Raw genomic sequence first — 19,634 nt, 5'->3', positions numbered from 1 at the left:
TATTACATGCAGTTTAACATTTCTGGCAAGAATACTATATATAGGTAATGTAAATATTAGTCATTTTTATTTTTATTTTTATTTTACTTATTTATTTAGATGGAGTCTTGCTCTGTCACCCAGGTTGGACTGCAGTGGCACAATCTTGGCTCAGCCTCCCAAGTAGCTGGGACTACAGGCACCTGCCGCCACACCTGGCTAATTTTTTTATTTTTAGTAGAGACGGGGTTTTGCCATGTTGGTCAGGCTGGTCTCAAACTTCTGACCTCCCAGGTGACTGCTGGCCTCAGCCTCCCAAAGTGCTAGGATTACAGGTGTGAGCCACTGCGCTTGGCTTAGTCATTTTTAATGTTAAGTTTTCTTTTCTGCAAAAATTTGCCATTTGTTTTTAAAAGATGCCTTTTATATTTTACTATCTCCCAAAGAATATTCTGTTTCTTGGTTCTACTCACCAGCAAAAGCTCCATGCACCACTAATGGAAATATCATTAAAAGGAAATGTGACCACTGTATAAATGTGATGTCATGGGCTGCAAACATAGGTAGGTGATGGCAATGTCACTGTGTATGACTTTAAAGAATTTCAAAGTCTCACAATATTTGAATTTCTTATTTATACAGGAATTTTTTTCATACAGAATTGTTGCTTCAGACTGAAACTCAAAGACCTCCAAAGCTTGAACCTATCCGCAAAATGGGGATAAGAAAACCCTTTTTCAAGTTATTGTAAGGCTTTAGTAAGAATATATGTGAAGCAATTGGCATGTACCTGGCAGAGTAAACCCCTGATATGTAGCACAATAGTGCAGATTCTATCATTTTCAACATACAGACGGGAGGCAGGTTGCACAGTGACGTACAGACAATTTTTAGAATTGAAATAAGACTAAAACTTTAATGTCACTTCTGAAATTAAACAGATGCTACAAAGTGGAACTGGGGCAAGTTTCAGCTTCCCTATTTACTAAAATGAGAGTCTGTATTAAATAGTTTTTAGCATCCCTTCCAACTCAGATTCAGTAACTCCAAACATGCTTCTATAAAGAAACTGAGGCCGGGCGCAGTGGCTCACGCCTGTAATCCCAGCACTTTGGGAGGCCGAGGCAGGCGGATCACCTGAGGTCAGGAGTTCAAGACCAGCCTGGACAACATGGTAAAACCCCATCTCTACTAAAAACACAAAAATTAGCCGGGCATGGTGGTGCATGCCTGCAGTCTCAGCTACTTGGGAGGCTGGAGCAGAAGAATCACTTGAACCTGGGAGGCAGAGGTTGCAGTGAGCCGAGATCATGCCACTGCACTCCAGCCTGGGTGACAGAGCAAGACTTCATCTCAAAAAAAAAAAAAAAAAAGAAACTGATATGTTTGTTCCTAAAGCAGCACTCATATCCAATTAAGGTTTCTATGGAAGACAAATACCCACATGAGAAATAGTAGACCACCTTGTCCCCAAGTTTACCCCTCAAGAGTGCCTACAACCAACTTTCCAGAAAGTTGTCAAGAATCACACTGGTTATGGGGTTCTTTTGCTTACTGGCTCCTTTCCATTCTTCCCTCTCCTTCTATAGATCTGCCAACATGGACTCAAGTTGGGGCTAGAGCTAGTGGAATGCTCCCCCAGTATGGTGCCCTAGAGTTGCATCTGTCATAGTAGCCTCCACTTTCGCACCTCATCCATCACAAGCCCCCTTCCAGGATACTGGGAAGTGTGACTCCCTCTATAATGGCTTCCAGGAGTTGCCTAGATAAACAAACTCCCTTATCTTCAAGAACCCTGCCACAGTCCTTCACAGTGTTCCTCAAACACCAGAAACTTGCTGAAAGAAGAGTAAATATGAATGGCTTAATAACGTGAAATGAAATTCAGCCTCATTATTTATTAAATAATTGTAAATTAAAACGATAATACTAAATGTCTAGAAATAAATATTCTTCAAGAGATTTGATAACTAAATCATGGTATAGGAATACAATGGCACATTAACAGTTATTAAGTCTATATAACTTGATGTGGAAAAATATTTACAACATGTTGTTAAATAAAAGAAACAGATTGCAAACTGCTTTGTACAACTGAATCCCATGTTTTATAAAAATATATACACAAATATGTACCTCTGAATAAGTATAAAGTCTACAAGGATACACAGCAAACTATTCACCAAACTGTATGTGCACTTATGATCTGGGCACTTTTTGATAACTGCCTAGACAACAGGAGCATCTCAAAGAACCAGTTGTTGGCCAGGTGTGGTGGCTCACACCTGTAGTTCCAGCATTTTGGGAGGCCAACGCGGGTGGATCACTTGAGCCCAGGAGTTCAAGACCAGTCTGGGCAGCATGGTGAAACCCCGTCTCTACAAAAAATACAAAAATTAGCTGGGCATGGTGGCATGCATCTGTAGTCCCAGCTACAAGCGAGGCGAAGGTGGGAGGATTGCTTGAACACAGGAGGTGGAGTGTGCAGTGAGCTGAGATTGTGCCAAAGCACTCCAGCCTGGGCAGCAGAGTAAGACCCCATCTTAATAAACTAAAAATAAAAGAACCAGTTGTCAACAGAACTAACTTTGGGAAGTCCTAGCCTGGCACATGTCAGCAGTCAGTGAAGATTCCCAACTTCCCTTTTCCAAGAAGGCAATATGACATAATTAAAAGAGCACAAGTCTTAGAATCAGTCACATCTTCAGTCCAGTCGTCCTTTGGCCTGTTTTTAATTAGAGATGCTAAATAAATATAGCTCCCTTCCCCACTTTCCTTTCACCAGAACTAAAAATTCTTGTACTTATATTTTTAAAAATATATTTATGTCTGTAATTTAAACATAAAAATTAACAGTAAAATTCAATTTCATGTGACTTGACTATGAAACAGCTCTTTAGATCACTACGAAACCCCCAGAAGACTGAACACCCTTTTGAGAGTCACCACTTATAACAACGTAATACTGTATAACTTGTACTTAAAAAAACTCATCTAAGAACTTATCTGCTGTATAAAAAAGGCATTCCAGTATTTGGGCTTATTAAAAAGTGTTACTTGTGATAATTAAAGTTAGCAGGTCAAGTAGTTATTTTATTTCCACTTTAGCATACGACAGGGAGGAGGAAAAGCTAAGAGTTAAGTGAATAAAGTTTGCCAGTTTCAAAGGACAATGTTAAACAGTTTTTTCTTTGGAAAGCCAATAACAATGAGTTTCACTGCAAGAACATACTGTTTATCCAATACATGTGTTTTGCAGAACTGTCAGGTGCACAAAAGAGGTAAGGACCAATTATTTTAAAACGTGTAAAAATGTGACACAGGACTTTAGGACCTCAGAAGGCAAGTTATAAGTTTAGATTGAAACAGGATCCTCAATCCACATATTGTCACCATAAAACTTTAACAAAGAATATAAATATCTTTCATGTTTCTTTTATTATTAAAGATTTTATAAAACCTAACATTTTAAAAAATGTGTCTTCTCTCATAAAGAAGCATAATTTAAACCAAATGCCAAAAATTCTTAGTTTGCTATTGAGTTTTCTCTAAAGCTTCTTCTAAAATATGCCCCTTGGCTGGGCAGTGGCTCACACCTGTAATCCCAGCAGTTTGGCAGGCCAAGGAAGGAGGACTGCTTGAGCCTAGGAGTTCCAGACCAGCCTGGGAAACAAAACAAGACCCTGTCTCTATTTTAAAAAATTGTTTTAATTAGCCAGGCATAGTGGCATGTGCCTGTAGTCCCAGCTACTTGGGGAGGTGAGGTGGGATAATCGTTGAAGCCTGGGAGGTTGAGGCTGCAGTGAGCCGTGACCATGCCACTGCACTCCAGCCTGGGTGACAGAGTGAAACCCTGTCTCAAAAATAATAATAATAAAAGATATGAATAAAATAAATAAGTAAAATATGCCCTAGATTAGATGACATTCTTTAATGGGACTTTTGGGACCAACTGTAAGAGCACCTTAGAAATACAGGGCAAAGGGGAAAACCCAACAACTCACCCAGGTGTTGAAAATTTTGAGCTTCTATTCTCCACTAAAAGTAGAGTAGTTCATGTGGCCACTGCTGTTAGCAACCCCAGAAAATGGAAGTATCAGGCTGGACATGGTGGCTCACGCCTATAATCTCAGCACTTTGGGAGGCCAAGGTGGGCAGATCACCTGAGGTCAGCAGTTCCAGACCAGCCTGGCCAACATGGTGAAACCCGTTTCTACTAAAAATACAAAAATTAGCTGGGCGTGGTGGCATATGCCTACAATCTCAGCTACTTGGGAGGCTGTGGCAGGAGAATCACTGGAACCCGGAAGGCAGAGGCTGCAGTGAGCCGAGATCACGCCACTGCACTCCAGTCTGGGTGACAGAGCGAGACTCCATCTCAAAAAAAAAAAAGAAAAGAAAAAGAAAATGTAAGTCTCCTAAAATTCTCCAGAAAAGGAGAGAAGCCAATTTAAGATAAATATATAAGCTGGGCTGGACACACTGGCTCACGCCTGTAATCCCAGCACTTCGGGAGGCTGAGGAGGGTGGATCTTGAGCTCAGGACAACATGGTGAAAACCCATCTCTACCAAAAACACAAAACTTAGCCAGGTGTGGTGGCACATGCCCGTAGTCCTGCTACTTGGGAGGCTGAGGAGGGAGGATCACTTGAACCCAGGAAGTGGAGGCTGCAGTGAGCTGAGATTGTGCCACTGCACTCCAGCTTGGGTGACAGTGAGACCTCATCTCAAAATAAATAAATAATAAATAAATAAATAGATAAGCTGGACTCTAAGGCTGACAAGAGCCTCTGAAATTCCCATTTCTACACACATTTCACAGAACTGAGCTCAATAAATAACCTTTTACATGTTAACGAACCATTATTTTACCTACCTTCTTTAACTTCAGGATGAAAATTTTCTGTTTTTAAAAAAACACACTTCACTACTCAGGAGGCTTAGGTGGGAAGATTGCTTGAGCCCAGTATATGACTACCAGCCTGAGCAATCAGTGAGACCCCATTTCTTCTTCTTCTTCTTTTTTTTTTTTGAGACGGAGTCTCACTCTGTTGCCCAGGCTGGAGTGCAGAGGCACAATCCCAGCTCACCGCAACCTCTGCTTCCCAGGTTCAAGTGATTCTCCTGCCTCAGCCTCCTGAGTAGCTGGGATTATAGGTGCCCGCCACCATGCTCAGCTAATTTTTGTATTTTTAGTAGAGGCAGGGTTTTACCATGTCAGCCAGGTTGGTCTTGAACTCCTGATCTCAAGTGATCCGCCTGCCTCGGCCTCCCAAAGTGCTGGGATTACCAGCATGAGTCACCACGCCCGGCCAAGACCCCATTTCAAATACACACACACACACACACACACACACACACACACACACACACACACACTCTCTTCAACAGGATTATTTTTATTTTCCTTGTGTATTTGTACATTTCTCGAGTTTTCTGCCAGAAATGGGTATTCATTTTTGTAATCAGTTTTTTTAATGTTTTAAAAACATTTATTATTTATAACTACTGACTTCTTACCAGACAGAGTCTGCACATAATCCCACAGCATTTCTTTATTTGCCCAAAAGTAGTCTCCGTTGCCAATTGAAAGAGTATACGACCGTTCACCCATAAGCTTGACTTTCCTTCTACTCTGGCCTAATGAACATGGCTGACCTTCTATGCGTACAGAGCTCTTTGACCCACAAACCTTGACAGTCTTTACACCAATAGACTTCATTTCTAAATAAACAATTGCCTTTAGGTTTGAACTAAGCAGAAAAGAAATGCACCACGTTTTCAAAACTGAAAATCATCAGTTAACTGAAAGCACAGACACATTCCAATACAGAATGTTAATCATTCAAATCTGATTGGTGGAGACTACAAGCTACACTCATCAAAATACAGCTCCACTGATATATCAAGAAAAGAAAACTTTTCCAAAGAAAAAAGGGATGTTAAAAGACCTAAGGAAATCAACAATCACAGTCACAAAATACCAATGATGCCCTTGTGAAGGAAAGTTTTAAATCTTAAGAAGGATGCCACTTCGAAGAAAAACAATTCAGGCCCACTAATGTCACTATACAGCTAGGTTAACATACCTCACATATGATTTCTATCATCTGAACAAGTATACTTGACTTACCAAAACCTCAAATGGTTTATTCACTAAACCATATTCCCTCCACTGGACAAGAGGAGCTGGAGAAATGGGAAAGCACACACTTCGCAGCCCAAAGAATAAGCCATTTGTAACAAGCAATGTTACAGAATTGAGCATCCTGCCCAGTAGTGTAGAAATAAAGGAACAGAAATTCAAATCAATAATATCAGCATGGCCAGCACGGTGGCTCAGGCTTGTAATCCCAGCACTTTGGGAGGCCAGGGCAGGAGGATCACCTGGGGTCAGGAGTTTGAGACCAGCCTGGCCAACATGGTGAAATCCCATCTCTACTAAAAATATAAAAGTTAGGCTGGGCGCGGTGACTCACACCTATAATCTCAGCTCTTTGGGAGGCCAAGGCAGGCAGATCACGAGGTGGGGAGTTTGAGAGCATTCCGACCAACATGGTGAAACCCCCATCTCTACTAAAAATACAAAAATTAGCTGGGCGTGGTGGTGCGCACCTATAATCCCAGCTACTCAGGAGGCTGAGGCGGGAGAATCACTTGAACCCAGGAAGCAGAGATTGCAGTGACCCGAGATCATGCCACTGCACTCCAGCCTAGGCAACAGAGCAAGACTGCCTCAAAAAACAAACAAACAAACAAAAAACTGAAAGAAGAAAAAACAATATCAGCATGCTTTAAGGAAGCTAGGCAAAGCAGAATATTGCCACTGCTGATGAGTATTTTGTTTTCACATCTAAGAGGAGGAGTTTTTATGCATAGAAAAGACTGAGATTTACTCTAGTTTTAAAATATTAATACTTAATTTATTAAAGTTACAAATTCAAAAAGCCTAGATTTTACTCAAATTTTTACACCGAACTTAGACAACTTATTCTACTTGGAGGTCTAATTTTAAAGGCCTGTGATGAATGTCTAAACTCATTTCAAAGTTCACCTTCAACATAACATCTTCAAACATAAAATGTTAACTACTTAAAAAATTTTACCAAGACTACACTTTCAGGGATCATTTCTACAGTTTGTTACTGGAGAAGTTTCTCTGAAAGTGTAGAGTACCAAACACTTTTTTTAAATTAAAAAAAAAAAAAATTTATCAAGTGAGAACTATTGCAACCCCCCCACCAAACCCCAACAATATATTCAATTTTAAGTATAATTGCTAGACTTAAAAAGACAAAATTTTTGTATTTTAACATGTGTCAAGAAAAAAAAATTTCCTGAGAATAACTTACATACCTAAAAAATTAAACTTATAGTGACTCTTAGGTACTCTCTAATGTCCACAAAATAAAATAACTGCAATAAGGTTTCAATTTAAATTCACAAGTATAAATCAATATTCAGTCAATTATACATTTTAAATTGAAATCATAAGACTAATATAAGTGCCGGGCATGGTGGCTCACACCTGTAATCCCAGCACTTTGGGAGGTCAAGGTGGGAGGATGGCTTGAGCTCAAGAGTTCAAGACTAGCCTGGGCAACATGACGAAACCTCATCTCTACAAAAAATACAAAAGTTAGCCAGGCGTGGTGGCGCATGCCTATAGTCCCAGCTACTTGGGAGGCTGAGGTGGGAGGATCGCTTGAGCCTGGGAAGTCAAGGATGCAGTGAGCAGTGTTCATGCCACTGCACTCCAGCCTGGGTGACAGAGTGAGACCCTGTCTGGAAAAAAAAAAAAAAAGACCAATATATTACTCTAAATTCTAATATTAAAAACACTTACTCACGCCTGTAATCCCAGCAATTTGGGCAGTCAAGGCAGGAGGCTTGCTTGAGTCCAGGAGTTTGAGACCAGCCCGGGATACATGGCAAAACCCTGTCTCTACAGAAAAACAGAAAAACTGGCCAGGTGTGGTGGCATGTACTTGTAGTCCCAGCTACTTGGGAGGTTGGGGTGGGAGGATCACTTGAATCCGGGAGGTCGAGGCTGCGGTGAGCCAAGATCATGCCCCTGTACTCCAGCCTGGGCAACAGAGTGAAAGCCTGCCTCAAAAAAATTAATTAAATTTAAAAAAGAAAAAAAACCACTTTAAATATCAAACATAGGTCACTACCACATCAACTCCTTGTTCTGAAAACTGGTAATTGAAAATAATGAATTAAGCTTTTAGCATTTAACATGGCTTTCTGGGAAGACTAACAGTCAATATGGGAAAGCTATTCTTTTTTGTTGTTGTTTCTGAGACAGGGTCTCACTTTGTAGCCCAGGCTAGAGTGCGGTGCTGTGATCACGGCTCACTGTAGCTTCGACTTCCTGGGCTCCAGTGACCTCCTACCTCAGCCTCCCAAGTAGCTGGGACTACAGGCACGCAGCAGCACACCAACTAAGTTTTTTCAATCTTTTCGTAGAGACAGGCTCTCATGTTGCCCAGGCTGCTCTTGAACTCCTGGGCTCAAGCGATCTGCCTACCTTGGCCTCCCAAAGTGCTGGGATTACAGGCATGAGTCACTGTACCCAGCCCAGGAGAGCTACTCTTTAAAGAAGAATATTCACTAACAAAGGTAGAAACTACAATAGAACTAGGTAAAAATCATTTTGTAACCCTCAATAATACAACTGATTGAGGAAAGAATCAACAACAGTGGATATTTACGAAATGCCAATTACTCCATAAATTACCTCTAACTGAAAATGGAAAAAGATGTTCCTGTCAGCACCTCAAATTGATCAAATTTAGCATCACTAATACTGGATAACCTGACATTATGTACTTTATACAGAAAATAAAGTATATAACATCACCTACAAAGTTTCTCAAAAATATGTTGAACCTATATCTAATCAAGCCTGTAGAAATAAGTTAGAGTTTAAGAAAATACAGGAGATAAAGCTGGGTGCAGTGGCTTACACCTGTAATCCCAGCACTTTGAGAGACCAAGCTGGGAGGATTCCTTCAGCCCAAGAGTTTGAGACCAGCCTGGGCAATATATTGGGACCCTGTGCCTACAAATAAATTTTTAAAATATAGCCATAGCTGGGACTACAGGCACATGCCACCACACCCAGCTAACTTTCTGTATTTTTTGTAGAGACAGGGTTTTACCATGGTGCCCAGGCTGGACTTGAACTCCTAGGTTCAAGCAATCCACCCACCTCGGCCTCCCAAAGTGCTAGGATTTATAGGTATGAACCACCATGCCTGGCGGGAAATTGGCTTTTTTTTTTTTTTTTTGGTGACAGGGTCTCACTCAGTCACCCAGGTTGGAGTGCAGTGGTGTTTATCTTGGCTCACTGCAACCTCTGCCTCCCAGGCTCAAATGATCCTCCCACCTCACCCTCCCTTGTAGGTGGGACTACAGGCATGCGCCACCACTAATTTTTTACATTTTTGGTAGAGACAGGGTTTCACCATGTTACCTACGCTGGTCTCTAACTCCTGAACTCAACTGATCCTCCCACCTCAGACTCCCAAAGTGCTGGGATTACAGGCGTGAGGCGCCATGCCTGGCTGGCAGGAAATTTTTAATATATTAAAACATGAATTGTCTAAACTATGACAATGGCATCATGGTTACATAGGTGAATGTCCCTATTTTTAAGAAACGCATGTTGAAATATTTAGAGATGAAGTGTTATGATGTTTATAACCTATTTTGAAATGATTCAACATTAAAAGTCATAGCTAGAGCCAGGTGTGTTGGCTCACATCGGCACTTTGGGAGGCCGAGGCGGGCAGATCACTTAAGCTCAGGAGTTCAAGACCAGCCGGGCCAACATGGTCAAACCACGTCTCTACTAAAAATACAAAAGTTAGCTGGGCATGGCCAGGCACAGTGGCTCACGTCTGTTAATCCCAGCACTTTGGGAGGTCGAGGTGGGTGGATCATGAGGTCAGAAGATCGAGACCATCCTGGCTAACACAGTGAAACCCCGTCTCTACTAAAAATACAAAAAATTAGCCAGGCATGGTGGCACACACCTGTAGTCCCAGCTACACAGGAGGCTGAGGCAGGAGAATCACTTGAACCCAGGAGACAGAGGTTGCACTGAGCCGAGATTGCACCACTGCACTCCAGCCTGGGCAACAGAGTGAGATTCCATCTCAAAAAAAAAAAAAAAAAAAAGCTGGCTGTGGTAGCGTGTGCCTGCAAGCCCAGCTACTCGGGAGGCTGAGGCAAGAGAATCGCTTGAACTCGGGAGATGGAGGTTGCAATGAGCAAAGATCGTACCACTGCAGTCCAGCCTGGGCAACAGAGTGAGACTCCATCTCAAAAAAAAAAAAAAAAGTCATAGCTAGTGATAGAGGAAGCAAATATGGTAAAATATAACAATTGCTGAATGAACTAGGGGGTAGATATATAGATATTCATTTTATTTTTTAAATTTTTTAGGTGTTTGAAATCATTCATAATAAAAAGTTGAAAAAATACCAAATAAGTCTGGGCGCGGTGGCTCATGCCTGTAATCCCAGCACTTTGGGAGGCCGAGGCGGGCGGATCATGAGGTCAGGAGTTAGAGACCAGCCTGGCCAACATGGTGAAACCCCTTCTCTACTAAAAATACAAAAAAACTAGCCGGGCATGGTGGCATGCACCTGTAGTCCTAGCCACTTGGGAGGCTGAGGCAGGAGAATGGTGTGAACCCGGGAGGCGGAGCTTGCAGTGAGCCAAGATCGCACCACTGCACTCCAGCCTGGGCAACAGAGCGAGACTCTGTCTCAAAAAAAAAAAAATTATCTGGATACAGTAGTACACACCCGTAGTCCTAACTACTCAAGAGGCTAAGGCAAGAGGATTGCTTAAGCCCAGGAGTTCATGGCTGCAGTGAGCTATGATGGTGCCACTGCACACCAACATGGGTGAAAGAGTGAGACCCTGTCTCAAAACAAAACAAAACAAAAAAACCAAAAAACTCAGAGCCTGAGATTATATCATTTAACCTGTTACCATACCTGTGAGGTAGATACTTTCATCGTTCTCATTCTACACGCAGGAAAGCTGAAGCTTAAAAAAAAGACTTCTTGAAATTTGCCCAATTTCCCACAAATACCAAGTAGTACAGCTAGGATGAACCTAAACTATCTGATTTCAAAGCCCCTACTCTTATCATTCCTTACCTGGATCAGTTAAATATAAATCAGATCACACCATCATGCCCTTATTGAAAACTTCCACTCTCTTCCCATTAGTTAAAATGAATTCAAACTCCCTCCATGGCCTGTAACGCCCAACATACACCAACTCCTGATACAACTGTGACTTTATCTCTTGCCATGCTGCCTTTGCTCCCTATGCTATAAATTATGTGTATTGGCTTTTTTGTTTTCTGTTTGAGACAGGGTCGCACTGTCACCCAGGCTACAGTACAGTGGCACAATTATAGCTCACTGCAACCTTCAACTCCTGGGCTCAAGCCATCCTCTCATCTCAGACTCTGGAGTAGCTAGGACTTCAGGGTCACGCCACCATGCCTAGCTAATTTTTTTTTATTTTTTACGGAGACAAGTCTGGCTATGTCGCCTAGGCTGGTCTTGAACTCCTGGCCTCAAGCGATTCTCCCACCTCAGCCTCCCACAGGTGTGAGCATCTATGCCCAGCCTTAAATTATGTGTTGAGTGTCTCTTGTCAGATATTGTTCTAGGGACTAGAGCTAGAACACAACTAACACAGACAAAAGTCTCTATCTTCGGGGAGCTTGTATTCAAGGGGTCTGCTTGATGTTCTTTAGACATTTTCCAAGCAAGGGTTCTGTACATTTGCATATTTGTTGCTCCTCTTACCTGGATCATTCTTCCCAACACAGCTGGCTCTTTATCCTTAGGGTTTCTGTCTAAATGTCAACTCTAAGAAAGCCCTTCTCTAATCTATCTGAAAAACAAGGCTTTCAGTCATCCTCTATTCTTTTTTTTCTTTTTCTTTTTTTTTTTTTTTGAGATGGTGTTTTGCTCTTGTTGCCCAGGCTGGAGGGCAATGGCACGATCTTGGCTCACTGCAACCTCTGCCACCTGGGTTCAAGTGATTCTCTTGCTTCAGCCTCCCGAGTAGCTGGGAATACAGGCGTCTGCCACCACGACCAGCTAATTTTTGTATTTTTAGTCAAGACAGGGTTTCAACATGTTGGCCAGCCTGGTCTCAAACTCCTGTCCTCAGGTGATCCACTCACCTCGGCCTCCCAAAGTCCTGGGATTACAGGTGGGAGCCACAGGCACCCGCCAGCAGGCCCTGCTAATTTTTTTGTATTTTTAGTAGAGACGGGGTATCACTGTGTTAGCCAGGATGGTCTCGATCTCTTGACCTCGTGATCTGCCACCTCGGCCTCCCAAAGTGCTGGGATTACAGGCGTGAGCCACCACGTCCGGCCTTTTATTTTATTTTTTTGAGAGAGGGTCTCATCCTGTTGCCTGGACAGTGGCGTGATCAAAGCTCACTGCAGCCTTGAACTCCTAGGTACAAGCAATCCTCCCACCTCAGCCTCCCTAGGAGCTGAGACTATAGGCACACACCATGATATCTGGCTTTTTATTTTTTAGAGTCAGGGTTTCACTTATGCTGCCCAGGCTGGTCTCAAACTCCTGGCCTCAGGCAATCCTCCCACTTCAGCCACCCAAAGTGCTAGGATTACAGGTGTGAGCAACTGCAGACAGCCTCTCTTACTCATTTTTTTCTTCTGAGTATTATTTTTTTTTTTGAGATGGAATCTCACTCTGTCACCCAGCCTGGAGTGCAGTGGTGCGATCTCGGGTTGCTGCAACCTCTGCCTCCCAGGTTCAAGCAATTCTCCTGCCTCAGCCTCCCAGCTAGCTGGGATTACAGGTGTGCGCCAGCATGCCTGGCTAATTTTTGTATTTTTAGTAGATGGGGTTTCACCATGTTGGTCAGGCTGGTTTTGAACTCCTGACCTCAGGTGATCCACCCCCCTCAGCCTCCCAAAATGCTGGGATTACAGGTGTGAGCCACTGCACTTGGCCTTCTTCAGAGTATCTATCACAACTTGAAATCATCTTATTTTTCATTTTATTTACATGCTTATCTGTCCTTCATAGTAAATAAGCTCCAGAACAGAGACTTTGTTTTGTTCCTGCCCAGTTCCTAAAGTAGTACCTGGCAAAACAGGCCATTGGTGAATATTTACTGAATAAATTAATATCACAACATTAACTCATCTTAGGTGGTCTCTAGGCTTCCTGTCTTACTTCATTTAAATCCACCACCTACAACAGTCAGTGTGATCAGATCACTCACCTTAAGTCCTTTCATGACCCTTTTTTCTTACCTGATGAAGAACACACACACAAGACCCTCCGTGACAAATATCCTGACCTCGTGAGCTCAGAGAGGAAGCAGCATGTAAGATAGACTGAATGAATAGTGTTCACCAGACGGAGAAGAGAAAGGACACTACGGCTCAAAAGCTCAAAAAACACAATGCTTTGCAACAGTAATTTATGATGTGAAGAGCTGGGTGGGTTGATACAGAAATCCAGCTGGAAATAGATTTTGAAGATGCTCACAAACCACATTAGAGTGAGGACGGCAGGGCGCGGTGGCTCACGCCTGTAATCCCAGCACTTTGGGAGGGCGAGGCAGGCGGATCACAAGGTCAGGAAATGGAGACCATCCTGGCTAACATGGTGAAACCCTGTCTCTACTAAAAAATACAAAAAAATTAGCAGGGCGTGGTGGCGGGCGCCTGTAGTCCCAGCTACTCGGGTGGCTGAGGCAGGAGAATGGCGTGAACCCGGGAGGCGGAGCTTGCAATGAGCCGATATCGCACCACTGCACTCCAGCCTGGGTGACAGAGCGAGACTCCGTCTCAAAAAAAAAAAAAAAAACAAAAAAAAAAAACCGTGAGGACTTAAAAGGAGAAAGAAAATACAATAAAAATTAAATAAAAAGAATGATGACTTGATGCCCAAAGCATGTACAGTCTTAGAAACTTTATAGGAAGGGGAATGACAGGATTCAATGAATGTCTTAGGACATAAAAAAAGCGGGGGGCGACAGTGAGGAAAATGGATGGGATAGGAAGAGACAAGAGACAAACACCAGTGAGAAGACTACTCAATGCGACATAGATCATATTAAAAGATAAAGGCCAGAAACACAGCAGATGAGATGGAGATGAGCAGAGATTCAAAGGAGCTACACTAAACACTCATCTATTTTATTCAAATTTAACCTTATATCAAAGCAGGAAGTTTCCTTCAATATGGCCTATAAACTTAAACCAATGAAAAAAACAGTCCCCTAATCACTGTGGACCTTATTCTTCAACTACACACATTACACAGCTCTTACCAAACAGGAGTGCAGCTAGGATATGCCTGTCTCCTCCAACAGACTGAACAGCAGGTCTTCAAAGGCAGGGAGTGTGTCATATCCATTATTCAACACTCAATCTTTGCGAATGAATAAATGAACAAGTAGAAGGCTTTATGACTGAGGATTTGAAAACTGGATGGGCTTTAGGTCTAAAAGGGTGATTTCGGGCAAGCGCAATGGTATGAGCAAGTAGGAATGGTAAATGTGGGGAACACAGACACTATTCTAAAATAAGGAGGAAGATGTTGGTCCCCTGGTCCAGCCTTGGACAGGCCATGCCGTTTTCCTGTCTAATAGTCTCTCCCTCATCCACCTTTCCTCATTTCTTATGGCTCATTCCCTCACTTCTTACATATCTCTGCTCAAATATCATCTCACCAGAGGCCTTCCCTGAACAACCTATCCAAAATTTCACAGCACATTCCTTATACCCTCTCAAGGCCTTTGTTCTGTTGTTTTTCTTCTTAGATTATTGAAGAGATCCTCTAATGATTTTTATTCCTCTGTACCTAAAATAGAATTGGCTTAATTTCCAAGTGAAGTTCATTTGTCAGTTATTGTGACCAGAACCTACTAAAATCCACAGCACACTGAGTTTTTCTTTAATTTTAAATTAAATTCACTGTAAAAATTTTAAGTTCCATCACTTTTAAATCCTGTCACTTAAGTTCTTTCCAATAAAACCTGGATGCCACAAAGAATATGAATTTCTTGCGGGAAACATTCCGGACAAGGTCAGGAAATAATTTTATATTCCTTAATGTGGAAGATTCTAGGAATGGGAGCAATAATCCATAAAGAAAACCATTGAGATTAAGTAATTTCGAGGAACTAGAGCAATTAAGTACCAAATGCAAGATTTTAGGAGCACAGACTGTAGAGAGACAATAGGATTTTATGCCTTTTTAAATAAGTGGTTTACTTTGAGAGGCCAAGGCGGAAGGATCGCTTGGGCCCAGAAGTTCGAGATCAGCCTGGGCACCATAGCGAGACCCCCGCCCGTCTCTATCAAGAAAAAAAAAAGTGGTTTTTACAAAGTTAATTTCACAGGAGTCAATGACCAGAGGAAGCCACATGTGGTCAAAACAGCCCAGGTGAATCCCAGCCTCAGCCACGCGATATTATAGGCAGATGTGTGCTCCAGGGTGACTTTCTCTTGTCTGCTTTTCCCACGAAGAAGCGGAAAATTCTGCGAAGCGGCAAAATACATTTAAGCTTTTTGGGCCGGAGTTATTCTGAAGAGCAGGGCAAAGGCGGCCAGTGGCGACTTCAAATACTGCACTTGAGTAAAACAACTATTGGACCCGGGGCCCGAAGACTCATGTTAGCGACAGCCGAGACAGAGGATGGGGTAAAGAAATGCACGCCCAAATTCAAGTCGCCCTGGAGTCCCCACCCCGGGCCCCGCCGCCTCCGAGTTCAGGGTCCGCCCGGCCCCGCACGTCCCGCCGTCTCGTCGCTCGGGACATTGGCGCCCTACCTGCAGGCTTGTCTGCAGCCATCTTCCCGCTTCGACTCGGGTTCTTCCCTGCAGGTGGCGTGGCCCTGACTCCCGCCGCCGGGCTGGCCGCTGTCCTGGACCTCCGAGGACAACTCTGTGCCTACCCCGGCTCCGGGCCCCCAGGTTCCGGCTAGAGGAGTGGGCAGACGGCGGGCTGAGGAAGTGACGAGAGCTAGTTCCCGTCGTCTAGCAACAGCAACAGCTTCCCCACCAAGGGACCGCCACAGCCTCCCGCCATACACAGCTTCCGCCTCACGGCGTCCCGGTACCCACTACTTCCGGGGGCGGCAGCCTGCCGCGCCTGGAGCGCCGGCGTGGGAACTGCTACTGGCCCCGCCCCACGCCGACGTCCCCTCCGCGCCCCGCCTCCGGCCGGACGTACTCTGGCTGGAACCTCTGGATGTTCACAGGGCTGACGCGGTGGGACGTACGCGCGTCTGTCCTTTGCTTACTCTAATTAAAACACCGAGGTGTCAGAGCTTTTGTCCCTCAATGTTACATAATATTACAATAACCACATCTGACATTTATGTGCTAAGCACTGAGCCCTGCACTTGGTCTGTACTATCTCATTGATTTCTTGCAACCCCATGAGAGAGGCGCTGTTGAGGATTCCCGTTTAAAAAGAAACGCCTTTTATTTTAGAATAGTTGTAGTTGTGCAGAAAAGTTGCAAAGATGACACCTAGAGTTCCTGTCTCCTCACCTAGTTTCTCCTATTGTGAACATCTTAATTATTTTACTATGTTACGTTGATCACATCTAAGAAACCAGTTTGATTGGCGCACTATTACTCACTAAACTACACATTTTATTCACATTTACCAGCTTTCTTTCAATGTCCTTTTTTTGTTGTTGTTCCAGGATCCTGTCCAGGACACCATATTGCATTTATTCATTATGTCGTCTTAGGCTATTTTTGGCTGTGGCAGTTTCTCAGATTCTTCTTGTTTTTGATGACCTTGACAGTTTTGAAGAGTTACTCCTCAGATATTTGGTGGAATGTGCCTCAATTTGGGTTTGGCCAATATTTTTCTCATGGTTAGACTGGGGTTTTGGGTGTTTAGGAGGAAGACCACAAGGTGACTGGCTGTTCTCATCACATAGAATCAAGGGTACATGCTGTCAAAATGACATCACTGATCATGTTAACCTTGATTACCTCTCTAAGGTAGTGCTTGCCAGTTTTCTCTACTGTGCAATTACTCCTCCTACCCTTCCACACTACTTTGGAACCAAGTCAATAAATGCAACCCACACTCAAGGTGGGAAGGCGGGGTATTTAAGCTCTACCTCCTGCAGTGGGGAGTATGTACATAAATTATCTTCCCCAAGGGAAGTTTGCCTCTTCTCCCTCACTTAGCTATTTATATCAGTATGGACTCATGGATGTTTATCTTATAATGGTTACATTCCAATACTACATTATTTTGTTGCTAAAATTGTCCCAGCTTTGTTAATTGGGAGATTTTTCAGGTTTGTACCTGTTTTTTTCTTTTTTTTTAACTTTTGTTTTAAACTTTCTTTTAAAAAAGTATTTGTTTTTGGCCGGGCGTGGTGGCTCACACCTGCAATCCCAGCACTTTGGGAGGCCAAGGCAAGTGGATCACTTGAGGTCAGGAGTTTGTGACCAGCCTGGCCAACATGGTGAAACCCCGTCTCTACTAAAAATACAAAAATTAGCTGGGCGTGGTGGTGTGCACCTGTAATCCCAGCTACTTGGGAGGCTCAGGCAGGAGAATCCCTTGAATCCGGGAGGCGGAGATTGCAGTGAGCCAAGATTGCCCCACTGCACTCCAGCCTGGGCAACAGAGTGAGACTCTGTCTCAAAAAAAAAAAAAAGTATTTGTTTTTTCTTAAACTTTTTAATTCAGGCTAACATACACAAAGAAAAGTGCATGAATCATAAGTACAGTGTATTGACTTTTCATCAACTCAACACATACATATAACTAGCACCCAGAGAAAGGGCAGAGCTTTACCCATATCTGGGAGTTCCCCTCATGCCTCTTCCCATCTCTCCACAAAGATAATCATTATGCTGACATTTAACACTATGGATTAGCTTCACCTGCTTTTAAACTTAATGTATATACATTATACAATATATTTTTTAGGGTCTAGCTTCTTTTGCTCGATAGTATGAGATTCATTGACATTGTTGAATGAAGTTGTATTTGTTTCTCATTGTTATATATTATAATGTTACATTATGTGAATATTCCTTAATTTATGTATTCATTTTATTGTTGGGCATTTGGATATTTTATCTATTTTGAATAGGGCCAATATGATTACTCTAGTATGACTTTTGATGAATATGTGCCCACCATAAAAAGGCATACCTGGCTGGGCAAAGGCATACCTGGCCGGGCACGGTGGCTAATGCCTGTAATCCCAGCACTTTGGGAGGCCGAGGCAGGCAGATTACCTGAGATCAGGAGTTTGAGATCAGCCTGGCCAACATGGTGAAACCCCGTCTCTACTAAAAAAAAATACAAAAATTAGCCGGGCGTTGTGGCGGGTGCCTGTAATCCCAGCTACTTGGCAGGCTGAGGCAGGAGAATTGTTTGAACCCGGGAGGCAGAGGTTGCAGTGAGCCGAGGTCGTGCCATTGCACTGCAGCCTGGCCAACAAGAGCAAAAGTCTATCTCAAAAATAAATAAATAAATAAATAAAATAAAGAATAAAAAATAATAAAAAGGCACACCTGAAGTGTAGTAGGGAGCCTCTTAATGAAAAGGAATTAGGAGGAATCTCTTATAGAATTTGGGCTTATTCTAGAGGGATTGGGAAAGTAGGAGGCCAAATTTGAATTGGATGCTGTCAGGAAACAAGCAATTCAGTCTTGGTTTTATCTAAACAGAAGGAGGAACAAAGCAAGCTAGAGCTGTCATTGGTTAAAAAAAAAGCGGGATCATTTACATTAGAAGAAGGGGGTGTTTTCCCATTTGTGTGGTTGTTGAGGGCCTTGTTTCTGTCTTGTCCAAAACACGATCATGGTGAAACTGTCTATGAACATTGTTCATATTCTGTGAGTGCTGTTTATGTCCAGTTGGGAACATTCTACTAACAGAACTGTTTTTTTTTTTTTAATTTTCTTAGTCCCCTTTTCACTTTCTCACATGTGGTCACATCTATGTTGGTTCTTGTCCCCCATTTCATAGATAGGGAAACTGAGGCACAGATGTTAATCCACTTTCCCAAGCCACAAGACTGGTAAATGGCTATTATCTTAACCACTACATTCTAGATTCTAGGATTTGCTATTATATTGAAGATATTTGGGCTCTCTTCCCTCTACTTTCCGTATCAGCAGCTCTCCCTTTTTTCACAATCAGGCTGACATCAATGATGGATAACTAATTCAGGAGTGGGGAGGTGGAAAAGCTCAGTAGGATTTTGCTCCGTCATAAACTACGGTGAGTCACTTTACCTCCAGCTAATAATGATACCACTATCCATTCACAGTACTTTAGACTGTATGTGGTTTGTTTGTTTGTGTCTGTGTTTTGAGACAGGTTTCACTCTGTTACCCAGGCTGCAGTGCAGTGGTATAATCATGGCTCACTCCAGCCTCTAACTCCCAGTTTCAGGTGATTCTCCCACCTTAGCCTCCCAAGTAGCTGGGACTACAGGTGCACGCCACCACACCTGACTAATTTTTTATATTTTTGTTATTTTTATTTTTATTATTATTTATTTATTTATTTATTTATTTTGAGATGGAATTTCTCTCTTGTCAACCAGGCTAGAGTGCAGTGATGCG

General features: G+C 42.8%; 1 protein-coding gene and 1 pseudogene across 14 annotated transcripts in view, besides 1 other annotated feature; one reads left to right on the top strand and one right to left on the bottom strand.

The window, feature by feature from the left end:
• Window positions 1-16,140, bottom strand: part of CNOT10 (CCR4-NOT transcription complex subunit 10) — an 88,688-nt gene extending 72,548 nt beyond the window's left edge. For 7 of the 14 annotated variants that reach the window (NR_046352.2, NM_015442.3, NM_001393367.1 and 4 more), the window contains exon 1: window positions 15,846-16,140. Coding sequence is in view for 12 of the 14 variants with exons in the window: in NM_015442.3 (NP_056257.1) it covers window positions 15,846-15,867 (22 nt within the window). In the remaining 2 variants the exon portion in view is untranslated. Of the gene's footprint in view, window positions 1-5,500; window positions 5,788-15,845 lie in introns of those variants that run through there. The other 7 variants (XR_007095661.1, NM_001256742.2, XM_006713085.4 and 4 more) reach the window with 1 other exon arrangement.
• LOC124905595 (uncharacterized) lies at window positions 7,088-7,164 on the top strand (annotated as a pseudogene).
• Window positions 16,030-16,339: a silencer, noted in NCBI's record as "silent region_14177". NCBI's record gives its function as "represses an Ori minimal core promoter by ATAC-STARR-seq in GM12878 lymphoblastoid cells {active_cell/tissue: GM12878}" and the evidence as "EXISTENCE:reporter gene assay evidence [ECO:0000049][PMID:35858748]".

This window comes from Homo sapiens, chromosome 3 (genome assembly GCF_000001405.40).
Source record: "Homo sapiens chromosome 3, GRCh38.p14 Primary Assembly".
Classification (NCBI taxonomy): domain Eukaryota; kingdom Metazoa; phylum Chordata; class Mammalia; order Primates; family Hominidae; genus Homo; species Homo sapiens.
The sequence above is the reverse complement of the archived record's forward strand: the minus strand, read 5'-3'. Positions and strand labels throughout refer to the sequence as shown.